Raw genomic sequence first — 13,175 nt, 5'->3', positions numbered from 1 at the left:
ATTGAGTGTAGACATTTTGTTGAAAAGTATAAAATGAGTTATGCTATTATGAATTCTTTTGAAAAGTACCGATTCTCCTTTTTTTCTTTTGACTATCCATTTTCCACATACCTGATTTGCATAAGGTGATTTGCACAAGGTGATTTGCACATGTGCTCTTTATTAGCATTCTGATTTAGCTGCGTTTTCTCTAAAATAGTGATTATGATAAATTTACTGAATATACTTATGTATTTAAGTGCTGGTGCTTCAGCAGTACAGTCCAGCTCATCACCATTGGAACAGTGGTAGACCAGTTGCTGTAATCTAAGAAAGAGGAGATTATGAACATTCAGGCAGTGGGATGAGCACAGAGACATAGGACTTGGTGTTTGACGGATAGGGACATAAAGGATGAGGGGAAGAGGTAAAGATGACCCCAGGAACCCTGGATTTCATTTCTGGCATGTGCACTTGTATGGGTGGCAGTATGAGAAACTGAGATAGGGAACATGAGAGATTAAAGTAGGTTTAAGAGGGAAGATACAAATTTGGTTTTGGATATGTTGGTATTGATGTACATACCTCTAAGATATCCAGTAAGTTATGGATATTATACACATGAAGCTCTTGAGAGAGATCTTGGCTGTATGTGTCTGTCATGGGCTTAGAGATAGAAATTAAAGCCCCAGATACCAATTAGGAAGAATCAAGAGAAGAGGACTACTTGAAGGTGGAAGAAATGGTCAAAATTATCAAATACTGGAGAGGTCAGTTAAGGATTGCAAGTTGGTCAAAAAGGAGGGAAGATATTGTCATGACAGCGGCAAATGGTGTGGTGTGCATGGGCATGGCTAGGATTGAGAAGTGAATGAGACTTGAGTAAGTGGTTATTAAATGTTGATTACTCTTAAGAAGTTTGAGATTTTTATTGGAGAAAAATTAAAATATTAGCAAGCAGGAAGGAGAGTATGCAGTGGAGGTAGGACTTTTTTTTTAAGGTGGGAAGGGGAAAATCTGATTACAGGTGCTGGCAGAAAGTCAGAAGGGGATGGGGATGTGCTGCCTAGTTCAGGTGGAAGAATTAGTGTTAGAGAGAAGGAACGATAGAGCTTTGATTGTAGTGAGTGGAAAGGAAAGTATGGGGTATTGATACTGTTAGGGTTTTGTGACTGAAAGTTGAGGGAATTATTTGATGGTTTATGTTTGTTCTTTAAAGCAGTATGTTAGTTCATTTGCTGGGAATGAAGTAGATCATGCTTGGGTGGAAGAGATCTGCAATACCTCTGACTAGGGAAACCAAAGGCATTGTATTAGGAGCCTAATCAAGGTTGAAAGGTGGTCTAAATGGTAGGGTGACTTTTCTTTGATTGTGCCAAACAACCTAGGTATGGGTTCAGGGAAGGCAAATGATTGTATTGATTCAAGGATGTGTTTTGGCAGGTGGGCCCTGTGGAAGGACAGTAAGTCAAGAAAGTTGAGGGTGATAGCAGGAGAGTAATTTGAAGTGATGGACTGTGGCATCTAAGTTGAAGGATGTGAATAGAAAAAGGTAGGAGAGGTAGGAGGAGAGTAGATGGTCAGTGAACTCAAGGCCCAGATTAGGTTTAAGAACCAATAGTAGTAGGAATAAATACATGCCAGAATGATAGGAGATTGTGGTCAAAGTAGGGGAGAGAAAGAATGCATGTGCGGGAGAGCAGGGTGTGTGTGTGTGTGTGTGTGTGTGTGTGTGTGTTGGATGTTGAATTTAGAATTTCAGAGGAATAGCAGTTCAGGTTGATTATAATGGCCAGTGTTAGGCCATCAGGCAAAGGCCTACTGTGTAGTCAGATTAAGATTGCTAGAGGTGAGGTCAAGTAAACTATGAGGCCATGATACTGTATTGCACTTCTACCTAACATTGAAGTCACCCAGGGTGATGGCAGGACTAGGGGTGGAGAGGAATACTGGGGTTAGAGTCCTTGGTAAAGGGCAGTGAGGTAACTGGCAGGATGGTAGGTAGAAGAAATGAGGAAGGACAGAGAATGACGTAGCGGAATAGCCAAGACTTTTGCCCAAGGTCTCTGAAATAAAAGTCTGGAAGCAGCATTGGTGAGCAGAGGGTACTGACCTCCCCACTCCTCCCTTAGGTGTGTAGAATATGAGAGAACGATTTAGCCTTCATTTAGCAAGTTCCACAGGGAAACCAGTATCTTCAAGGAACAGCCAGGTTTTAGTGAAGGCGAGGTAAAGGCAGGAATGTTCAGTAAAGATGTTGAGGAGTAGAGGAGCTGGTTCACAGTGGAATGGGGGTTTCAAACAGCACAGTAAAATGGTTTAGGAGGGAACAGTAGAAAGAAGGGTCTCAGAAGCCCAGAGCAGCTTGGTGATGACTGGGTGAAGAGCAAGGAGTAATCGGTGTAGCAACACCTTTGAAGTCTCCCCTCCCCGCTAGTGCTTCCTCCCAAAACTTAAAGCTAGCAGTCCTCTAGTAGATGGTGGCCCTTAGGAATTTCAGTATTTCAGGAGTCACCTATTTCTTGGATTGTTTTTGTTAAACCTGGGAAATCTATAGCCTAATAGTTTAGAAGTAAGGGAAGAAAAGGGGGCATTGCCTTTGAAAGCTTAATGGGAATGGTGGAAGAAAGTGTAAGCAATGCTTGGGCATTCTCTTTTAGAATATGTTTATCTCCCTTCTCTGAGAAAATTGTTATTTCCTGCCTTTTTGACTTAACCTTTTTTGATATTAGTTATCATAGCAACTTACTAGGGAATAGAGAATTATTTAGATACACCCAATATATATATTCTACAAAAGTTGTGGGAAGGAAACCCAGTATTGCTATAATGAAAACAATATAGGTGACCTGAGGTTTTAGTCTTGGCTATACCACTGACAATCACTTTGTTTCTCTAGATGTCATTTTCCTTTTCTATAAAAGGAAGGGTGGATTAGCTCAAGTCCTTGCAACTTAATAATTTTCTTGACTTGATTATATAACAGGCATCTGTTAAAAGCAGGTAAGTAGTGGCCAGTCACAATGGCTTACGCCTGTAATCCCAGCTTTCAGGGAGGGAGAGGTGGGAGGATAGCTTGAGCCCAGGAGTTCGAGACCTGCCTGGGCAATATAGTGAGACTCCGTTCTCCACAAAAAAGGGAGAAAAAAAAGACAAAAAAAAAAAAAAGTGTAAAAGCAGGTAAGAGTTGCTTTAACATGCTTCTATCAGGCACTATATGAGATTTTTTTTTGGCGGGGGGGGCAGGGAAAAAGATGAAACTAAGACAAAGTTTTGCGCTTTATGCAACTTACAGCCAGCTGGTACAGACACACTGTTGAGGACATAGTTAAACATTGTGATCTATGTTATAGTGAGGATAGGTACTTACCTGTGTATCTTCGTGAAAGGGAGGTTCAAGTGTACTGAAGTCAAATGTACCAAAATACAGCAGTGGTCTGATAAAACATAAGGGAAGCTCTCTTCTCAGATGACTTAAAAGTTTTATGCCATCTCTAATTATGAAATATTTAAGTGTGTTTTTAAAAAAATTCTGGGTCTTATTAATGTATATGCATTTAAACATTTAAACTATTAAATAATAAAATACTAATTTCCTCAGATCATTTATTATCTCATATGTTCTTCTTTTCTTTTTTCGAGACAGGTTCTTGCTGTGTCGCCCAGGCTGAAGTGCAGTGGTGAGATTATGGCTCACTGCAGCCTCAACCTCCCAGGGTCAGGTGGTCCTCAGCCTCCCAAGTAGCTGGGACCAAAGGCTCGTGTCACTATGCCTGGCTAATTATTTTTGTAGAGAGGAGGTCTTGCCTTGTTGCCTAGGCTGGTCTCAAACTCCTGTGTTCAAGGATCCTCCCGCCTCTGCCTCCCAAAGTGCTGGGATTACAGGTGTGAGCCTCCAGGACTTTCCTGTTCTTGTTTTCTTAAAATGACATTTTGTAGGCAGAAATCAGTTTTAGTTTTGGGAAGAAAGATTGATTTTGCAAGAGAGATGAATAAGGTATTGTGATGCAGATGGTGCTTTATTAATTTTGGGAAGTAAAGTTTGTCAAGAAACTAATGAATTCTGGTCTTCCTCCCCCTCCATTTACAAAGAAATTTGTGACAAACTATATTCTTACTATTGGAATGTAAATACTGATTTTTTTTCTCAGTAGTAGTATCAATGAATGTTCTTGGCATTTCCCCAATGAATGTTCTTGGCATTTTTTTTTTTCCAAAAATTGATTGGCTATAGATATGTTAATTAATTTCTGGGTTATCTGTTCTGTTCCATTGGTCTGTGTTTCTGTTTTTATGCCAGTACCATGCTGTTTTGGTTACTATAGCTGTGTAGTATATTTTGAAATTTAGTAGTGTGATTCCGCCAGCTTTATTTTTGTTCAGGATTGCTTTTGCTTTTTGGAGTCTTGTGGTTCCATACAGATTTTAGGATTTTTTTTCCTATTCCTGTGAAGAAGGTCATTGGTATTTTATTAGGGATTGCATTGAATCTGTAGACTGCTTTGGATATTACGGCCATTTTTTAACAATGTTAACTCTTATGATTCATGAACATGGAATGTCTTTCTTTGCATTTGTTTGTATCCTCTTCAATTTCTTTCATCATTGTTTTGTAGATTTCCTCGTAGAAGTCTTTCACCTCCTTGGTTAAACTTATTCTGAGGTATTTTTTTTTAAGCTATTGCAAATGGAGTTTCCTACTTGATTTCTTTTTCAGCTAGTTTGTTGTTTGTGTAAAGACATGCGATATTTTTGTTATTGATTTTATATCCTGCAACTTTACAGAATTTACAAGTTTTTGGTAGTCTTTAGGTTTTTCTTTATATAAGATCATGTCATCTGCAAACAGGGACAATGTGACTTCCTCTTTTCTAATTTGGATATCCTTTATTTCTCTCTTGCTCAATTGCTCTGGGTAGGACTTCCCATTTCAGTCTTTATTTATTTGTTATGACATTAGCAGTTTTAAAGAACACAGGGCCTCTCTTCCCCCGACTTTATAATAGAACATTCCTCCTAGTGGATTTGTCCGATGTTTCCTAGTGATTAATTTGAGGCTATGGGTTCATTTATGATACTGTATAGATGATGATGTGTCCCTCTCATAGCACCACTTCTAGAGTTATCTGCTATTCATCAGTCCCTCACTGGTTATGTTAATTTTGACCGTCTGGGCAAGATGAGCTCTGATTTCCTTATATTGTCTTTGTTTCTCCCTTGCAGATGATAAGCAGTCTGAGGAGTGACACTTGAACACATGCAGATATCCTGCTCCCTATCAAAATTCGCCCCTCCAATTTAGTAAACCATTGATGATTCTTGCTTGATCCAGTCTTTACCATGAGAGTTGAAAAATGATTTTAACTCCAGTACTCCCCGTACATTTTTCATTTGACCCTCAGCATTCCTGTTTAAGCAGCAGACCTCCATTTCCATTAATGAATTAATTAGCTAATTAATTATCAGTATGGATCCGTGAATTTCCATTTTCTTTCCAATGGTTTATGATTCATTACTGAACTTTATTATTTTGGTGGTAAATTATTGCATATTTTGAGGGTTCCTTCAGGTAGGCTCAGGGACATGCAACCTTCTTTCTTTGGGGTTGGGAGGGGAGCATTTCTTACTTTCTAGCCTAACAAAATATTGTAGGCCTATTTTATGCTTACCGTGTCCCAGCCCTGGAATCAGCCATTTCTCCAAGGATGCCTGATTCCTTTTAATGTAGAATGAGAGGTCATTTTCATAATAGTGAGGTATTAAAGATCAAGAGCTAGATGCTAGTTGTGGTCATTGCTACTGTGGGGATCTTTCCATTTTAACCCTTTCAGTGGATAAAGCTAGGAAATGCTTATATACATACATAAAAATAAACATACACACATACACATACATACTTAAGAAATGAGTTCACATAGATACCTCTAATTCTAATCCATTCTCACAGGGTTTGTTCTTTCTTTCCTGATTTCATATTTGTCTCTTCTTTTATAGTGAGAACCCTGGTTCCTAAGACCACCAATACATTATTTATATCCAGTCCTTTAATACACCTATAAGAGTTTTAGAATGCTTTTTTCATATCACTATAATAAAAAAAAAACTTGATAAAAGAGTTCTGGATTGTTTGCAAATCCCTACTCTGCAACCCTGCCTAAGATGGAATGTATATAGTCAAATACATTATTCACAGATTACTTGTATTAGTTTGTTCTTTTTTCTTTTTCCTGCGTCCTTCTCCCACTGACTAATGGCTATGATATTCATTTGAAATACAATTAGCTTCATTTGTTTCAGTTCTAGATTTTCTTTCTCCCAGTTTTAGGTTTTTAACTGAGAATTTTAAAGTGTTGAGAAAAGCTGAATTCTTCTCATTTTATCTGGAAAGGGAAGACTATCATTTATGGAACATCTTCTGACCAACAAGCACTCTCACATATTTGTTTCATTTAGGTCTTCACCATAATCTGAAAGAAGGAACCATTTTATAGATGATAAAATCTAAGCCTAAGGATGTTAAGTAACTTTTTCAAGGATACCTGGTAAATTATGTAATAAGCACAATGTTTTTGAGCTTCTGCCGTGTTTCAGACATTGGGCTAACTTCTTATTTGTATTAGTTGTTACCTAGTTTCACAAGAATGAACTGCGATTCCAACTCAGGTTTTGTCCGTTCACAGTTATTTCCTGGTTTTGGAATAAGCAGTTATTGTCCTAACTTTAGCAGGCAATCAAGGTGCTACTGCTTTTATCATATATCTGTTGTGTTGAACCATTAGGCAATGTAAGACATTTCTTGACATCTTAAGATGTCAAGAAAGTTGGTTGCCATCTACATTTTCTCACATATGTAAGGATATTGGAACTAGGGTAACATTCTGTTGCTAGTATGTGGAGACTGAAAAACCCTACTTTGGACAACTGCTATCATCTGTTTATGTTGGTAGGCCATTGGTACAGAAAGGTGCTCATGTTTCCTGTCCAAACTGCTGAGATCTTGACTTAATGATAACTTAATATATGTTTGTTGGTTGCTTGTCACTAATGCACAGAGAATATTTTTAGTTCGTAATCGAAATATAGATTGTGTCTTGCTGAACTAATTGGAACTATTGGTAAGTGAAGTGTAAACCGACCATACATTGATTATTTGTTCATTATAATTAAACTATGTAATACCCAGGATTCACCAAGTAGTATTACCATGATCACTCACTTTAAAAGGGCTTGTTTGTCTAGGTAAATAGTACGAAATTAGCTTTGCAAACTTATATATGTTCATGAATAAGAACTTACATATGTTCATGAATAAGAATTGTTTTGATATTCTTACGACTTAAAATATTTTTCTGAAAAAGTATATATAGCCTTTGAGTTTTTTTACTGAAGTACTGTAGATACTAAGAGTTGATATTTTGTTTAAAATATATTTTTATTGAGCAAATAATATTTGGAAAATTTTGATGTAAGTTGGACTTTATTATGATAAGTAGTTAATCTTAACTGGAAGGCTATCAGTAGATGTACAATGTAGCTAAATTAGAACCTGACTCTTGTTAATAAAGGAAACGATTATATTTACTTTTTAAAAAGTGACATTGTTAAATTAGTGAGGATTTATTTAGTGCTTACTGTGGGCCCAATACAGATTGAAAATAAATATGTACCATAAAAAAGAGATACCTGCTAAATATAATGTGGTTAAATAACTTAATTTTAGGCATTTTACAGACCTGAGTTCTAATTCTGACCCTTTCACTGATTTAGCTGTATGACCCTTGGCAAATGTTTTAATCTACTTGAGCTTCAATATTTTAGTAATAAGGATTTTTTCTAAGGACTTGATAACTATCAGTGAAGTTAGAGCAACAGTTTATGAAGCAGTCTGACATACAATACACGCTCATTGTACAAATTTGAAAAATGTAGAAAAGCATTGAGATGAAAAAAATTATAATCATATTACCCAGACATAATCAATGTTTAATATTTTAGAATATATTATTCTAGTCTACTTTCAATGCACATGTGTTTTGTTTTTGTTTTTGTTTGAGACATAGTCTCGCTCTGTCACTCAGGCTGGAGTAGCAGTGGCGGGATCTCCACTCACTGCAACCTCTGCCTCCTGGGTTCAAGCGATTCTCGTGCCTCAGCCTCCCGAGTAGCTGGGATTACAGGTGTGGGCCACCGTGCCTGGCTAATTTTTGTATTTTTAGTAGAGACAGGGTTTCACCATGTTGGCTAAGCTGGTCCAGAACTCCTGACCTTAAGTGATCTGCCCACCTTGGCCTCCCAAAGTGCTGGGATTAAAGGCATGAACCAGCGCACCTGGCCGCATATGTGTATTTTTAAGAATGTAATAGTGTTTTATGAAATTGGAATCATACTCTATATATTGTTTATAAGCTTTTAAAAACTTTAGTAATGTCTTATATAATGCAAACATTTCCATGTCTTTAAATATTTTGCTGCTGATTTTTTGTACTTAGTGTTCCTTAGTATGGGTATAGTTTAACCAGTCACTTTGCTATTGTTGGACCCTTAGATTGTTCCTTTGTTATTGATAAATAATGCTATTAACCTCTTTATATTTAAATATGTCTTACATATCCCTGAATTATTTTCCATAAATCAATTTGAAATAAAAACCTAGGTTAGTGGGTATGAGCATTTATAAGGGTTTGTATAAAAATTGGCCACCAGAAAAGTTGTACTAATTTTTACCCTTTTATCAGAAGAAGAAAACACCCATTTCTCTACTTTCACCAACAATTCATATTGCTTATTTTTTGATAGATAATATTTTTACATTATACAAAATGCAGAAAGTACAGTGACAGTCACACTTCTTCCTCTCTCTCTGTTGTCCAGCTGCCTAGTGCTGTTTCCTAGAGTTATCTACTATGACTCGTTCCTTAAATATTCTTCTGGACATTCTGTACTAGGTATTTTTTAAAAGCCCTTTACCAGTTTGATAGGTGCAAGTAGTACTTGCTTTTTTGATCTTTGATTATTAGTGAATGTGAACATGTTGGCAGTTTGTATTTCTTCTGTGATTTTTGCTTGTTCATACTCTTTGCCCATTTTTAAATGTAGGTGTTCATTTTTTTCCCTGATTTTATGAGAGTTCTTTACATATAAAGGATGTAAACTCTTGTGTTATAGTTTTCCCTCAGTTTTCTAAAAGATTTTTAGTTTACATTTCAGTGGACATTTTCAGTTTTCACAAAGGAAAATATATTTTTTATTTACTTATAGTTTTAATTTTACACTTAGTTCTGATCTATTTAAAATTGATTTTGGATTCCGATTAGGGATTATTTTGCCCCACGTATTTTTTTGGTGTTAGAGTTGTTTTCCTATTCCCATACTCTGATCTAGCTGCCTAGGGCCAGGCAGCAATCTTGTGGAAAAGCCAGAAAGTTAATGTTTGCCAGATTGCCTTCCATGAACTGGGCAATCAACTGTAGACTACGGGTGTTGGTGCCATCTAGTGTTGCAGATGGAAGATCAAGTCTGTGGAATGATCTATAATTGACTATGTGGAATAAATTCAGTTGGACAGAGAAATTTAGCGAGCTGTGAATATCGTTTTGCACTAACAGATGAGTTTAAAATTTTTATAAACAATTTTGAATATTGACATCTTGTACCAAATCAAACAAATGCTTTAATCATACTACTATAAACATTATGAAATGACCTTAAAGATTCCCCCCAAACCTGGATACTTAAATGAAGACATTAAAGTTTAAGAAGATCTGTTTAGGGCCTAGTGACTATTAATTCTTGAATTCAGAATTTAAAAATGCGTGCTTGAGGCCAGGTGCAGTGGCTCACGTCTGTAATCCCAGCACTTTGGGAGGCTAAGGCGGGCAGATCACGAGGTCAGGAGATCCAGACCATCCTGGCCAACATGGTGAATCCTCGTCTCTACTAAAAATACAAAAATTAGCTGGGCTTGGTGGCACGCACCTGTAGTCCCAGCCACTTGGGAGGCTAGGCAGGAGAATCACTTGAACCCGGGAGGTGGAGGTTGCAGTGAGCCAAGATCGTGCCACTGCATTCCAGCCTGGTGACAGAGCGAGACTCTGTCTCCAAAAAAAAAAAAATGCTTGCTTCAGCAGCACATACTAAAATTGGAATTATACAGAGAAGATTAGCATAGCCCCTGCACAAGAATGACGCATAGAATTTGTGAAGTGTTTCATATTTTTATATAAAAAATTTTTAAAAATGCTTTGGGTGTTTAAGAATATTTGTATGTTTTAGATTATAATGTAAGAAGTTAGCATATTAGTTTTCATAAATAGTGTCACTTTCAGTTTATGAATTTTAGTATTCATTTTTGGTACCTTATGTTAAATTTTTTATAGACTTTAAAATGCTCGTTGTTTTGCTATTTTAACTTGTACTGTCATTCATTTTCTAGACTAAAATCTTTTTCCAGTTCTTAAGATTTAATTCAGTAATGTTGAAGTGCTGTAATTTAGTCCATAGAGGGCATTATATTACAGCATATGGTAGGGTTTTAAAAATTAACTCCTTTCAGTATTGAAACATGTTAATTTCATACCTTTGTGTAGCTCAGAATAGTTAAATTTTGAAATAAGCTTAAAACTACTGTGTAGCTATAATTGTTTCTTATTTTTTAAAAAACATGCCTATTTTCTGTGGCTGGAAAGTATAAATTATTTTAGCTCTCAAGAGCAGTGTACATAAGCAGTCTCTAACTTTCAGAGTAGCATTTTCAATCCAAATGATTGCTGCTTTCCCACCCTCTTTCCCTTGCATCTCTAAATGTTGTAAAGAAAAACGAAGCAAAACAAAAACCTGAGTTTTTCCTGGGTGCAGAAGTAGAGGAAAGAAAGAAATGGAAAAGGAAGAATGTCTTAGAATAAGAGCTGGCTGGGGTGGACTTAACACCTTGCCTAGTGCTGCCTGTTCTAAAATCTAAAATATAACTTTCTACTGTCTGAAATCTTGCCAGTTAGATACCACCCCCCCTACACCCTCCCCCCCCCCCAAAAAAAAACCCACCAAAAAACATACACACAGTTTCTGAGGTCATAAAAGAGTTTCTTGTTTAGTAGGAATTGATTTATGCGTATTTCCTACTTAACAGGTAAGTGCATGAAGGAAACGAGGGTTTGGTCTGAGATGTGAGAAAAGAAACCGTGTAGGTAATTTTACAGCATATTACCCTTTAGAGCTTATCCCTTCATAAGATGCAAAGGAAAGACATTATGGATATGTATTTGGGCAAGTTTTCATCTTTGATTTTTTTGTCATGCTTGGGAGAAGGGGATACTGGGGACATGGACATTGAGGAGTGGGAAATTGCCAAATATGAACTTTGAACAGTTTATTTCAAAAGTTCTGTATAAAGCTGATTTTGAGTTCAGGAAAAGGAGAATACTTTTCCCCTCTTCTCCCCTCCACAAACACACAATATGAAATAGGGCTTAGAATTCATACAACACTTTTATTGGCTTGCAGTATAAATAAAGGAGTTTTCTGTGGCCTCTCCTTTGTGAGCCTTTGCTTTTATGGGAAAAGAGGTTCCTGTCTCAAATAGTCAAAATGCCATTCTGCAAGTTGAGACATGTGCTCTACTTGAAAATTGTCCTCAAAAGAATTAATTTTTTTAAAAGTTAGGTAGTTGAAGGAAAACAAAATAAATGAAGATAAGTTTTTAACAGATTTATGTCCTTTCTTTATTTGACTTGTTAAGTTGGGGTTCATTGTGGAATAGGACCTATAAACTATGCAGATGTACATTTTTCTCAGCTGGAAAATAATAGAACTATACAGCAACGACAATAGTTTGTGTATGAGAGGGGGCAATTCTGTTTAGAAAGATTGGGTTATTGCCTAGAGTTGAAGGACTTAATATATGAGCTTTCTTAGATGTGCCTTACTTGTCTTGTTGCTTCTTAGTTTGATTGTTATTTTTAGCATACTGATAAGTAAATAGCACTTACATAGTGCCTACTTTTTGTCAGGCAATGTCCTAAAGCCTTCTATTTTTAGTAGAGATTATATGATTTTCATAATAAACATAGCCCATCTGGCTTTACATCTTTAACAAATTTGTGTCATATCAGTTTTTCAGATTTAAGCACTTTTTTGCTTAACTTGCCAAACTTAAAACAAGTCTAGTTGAAAAACTTTGTGAGAAAGAACTGGGCAAAATGTCAGTTGATTTCCACAAGCTAGTTTTCCTTGTACACTTACAAAGACCATAAAAATTAAAGAAGTAGATGTCACTATGTAGGCTGAAATGTTTACTAAACTTCAGGGCTCCTATTTTGACTTTTTAATCTGTCAGGGGTGCTATTAAGTATGTTTAATGTTTAGATGAGTGGGTATGTCTTATTACACATTCTTGCCCCTCTCAGACTTTTTTCTTTAATTGTTAAGCCAAATCAAGTACCACGGAAGATACAAGTAGTCTTAAGTGCCGAGTAACTTGATCACAGTAAAACTTTTTTCTTCTACTAGTGAAGTAATCTCTGACTTGAAAATAGTGTTTGAGTACTATAGTTGAGTGTTTTATTCTAATGCTCGTTATTTATTGGCTTTCAGTTTTAAGGGACTTGTTATTAGAAAGTCAGTATTTTGTATTTACTAAATAGTTTGAGATTCTGAATGTTGCGTGGAGAGGCCAGACATTTTCAGGCCATGATATGGCTTGCTGACCGGGTTCTCAAATATCACATTATGCAGGGGTTCAGTGAATAAAGTTTAAAGTTAAATATTAACTCGAGCTGAGAATACTGGGCTCTTTTAAAAATTACTTTTCTTTATTTATGTTTGGAGTTAGAGAGGCAGATAGGGAAATAAATGTGTCATTGATATTCAAGCCACTTCCTTTTTCCCCTCTCATTTTCCTAATTTTAGTTCTTTCTATGTTTAAGTCTTACATGTTTTGTTTTTAGTTTTTTTGGGTACATAATAGGAGTATATATTAATATCAAGCCACTTCTGATATTAAGGATTTTGCAGCCCACAGATAGCAGGTTCCAGAAAATATTATCTCTATTTCATTTTAGCTATACAGTCTTAAGTATGTATTTTTGTACATAGGCTACGTATCTTATAGTATTTTCGCAAATTGCATTTTAAAATATTTTAGCTGATTTGTTAGTGCCTTTTCTGCTTAGGCAGATATAAGTATCAGGTGAATTGATTGT

At 36.2% G+C, this 13,175-nt stretch overlaps 1 protein-coding gene and 1 pseudogene across 12 annotated transcripts in view; both read left to right on the top strand.

The window, feature by feature from the left end:
- Positions 1-13,175, top strand: part of RTN4 (reticulon 4) — a 165,643-nt gene that overhangs the window by 113,218 nt on the left and 39,250 nt on the right. The gene's annotated exons all lie outside the window — the stretch shown is intronic.
- Positions 10,093-10,196, top strand: RNU6-433P (RNA, U6 small nuclear 433, pseudogene; annotated as a pseudogene).

The sequence above is a fragment of the Homo sapiens genome, chromosome 2 (assembly GCF_000001405.40).
Source record: "Homo sapiens chromosome 2, GRCh38.p14 Primary Assembly".
Classification (NCBI taxonomy): Eukaryota; Metazoa; Chordata; class Mammalia; order Primates; family Hominidae; genus Homo; species Homo sapiens.
The sequence above is the reverse complement of the archived record's forward strand: the minus strand, read 5'-3'. Positions and strand labels throughout refer to the sequence as shown.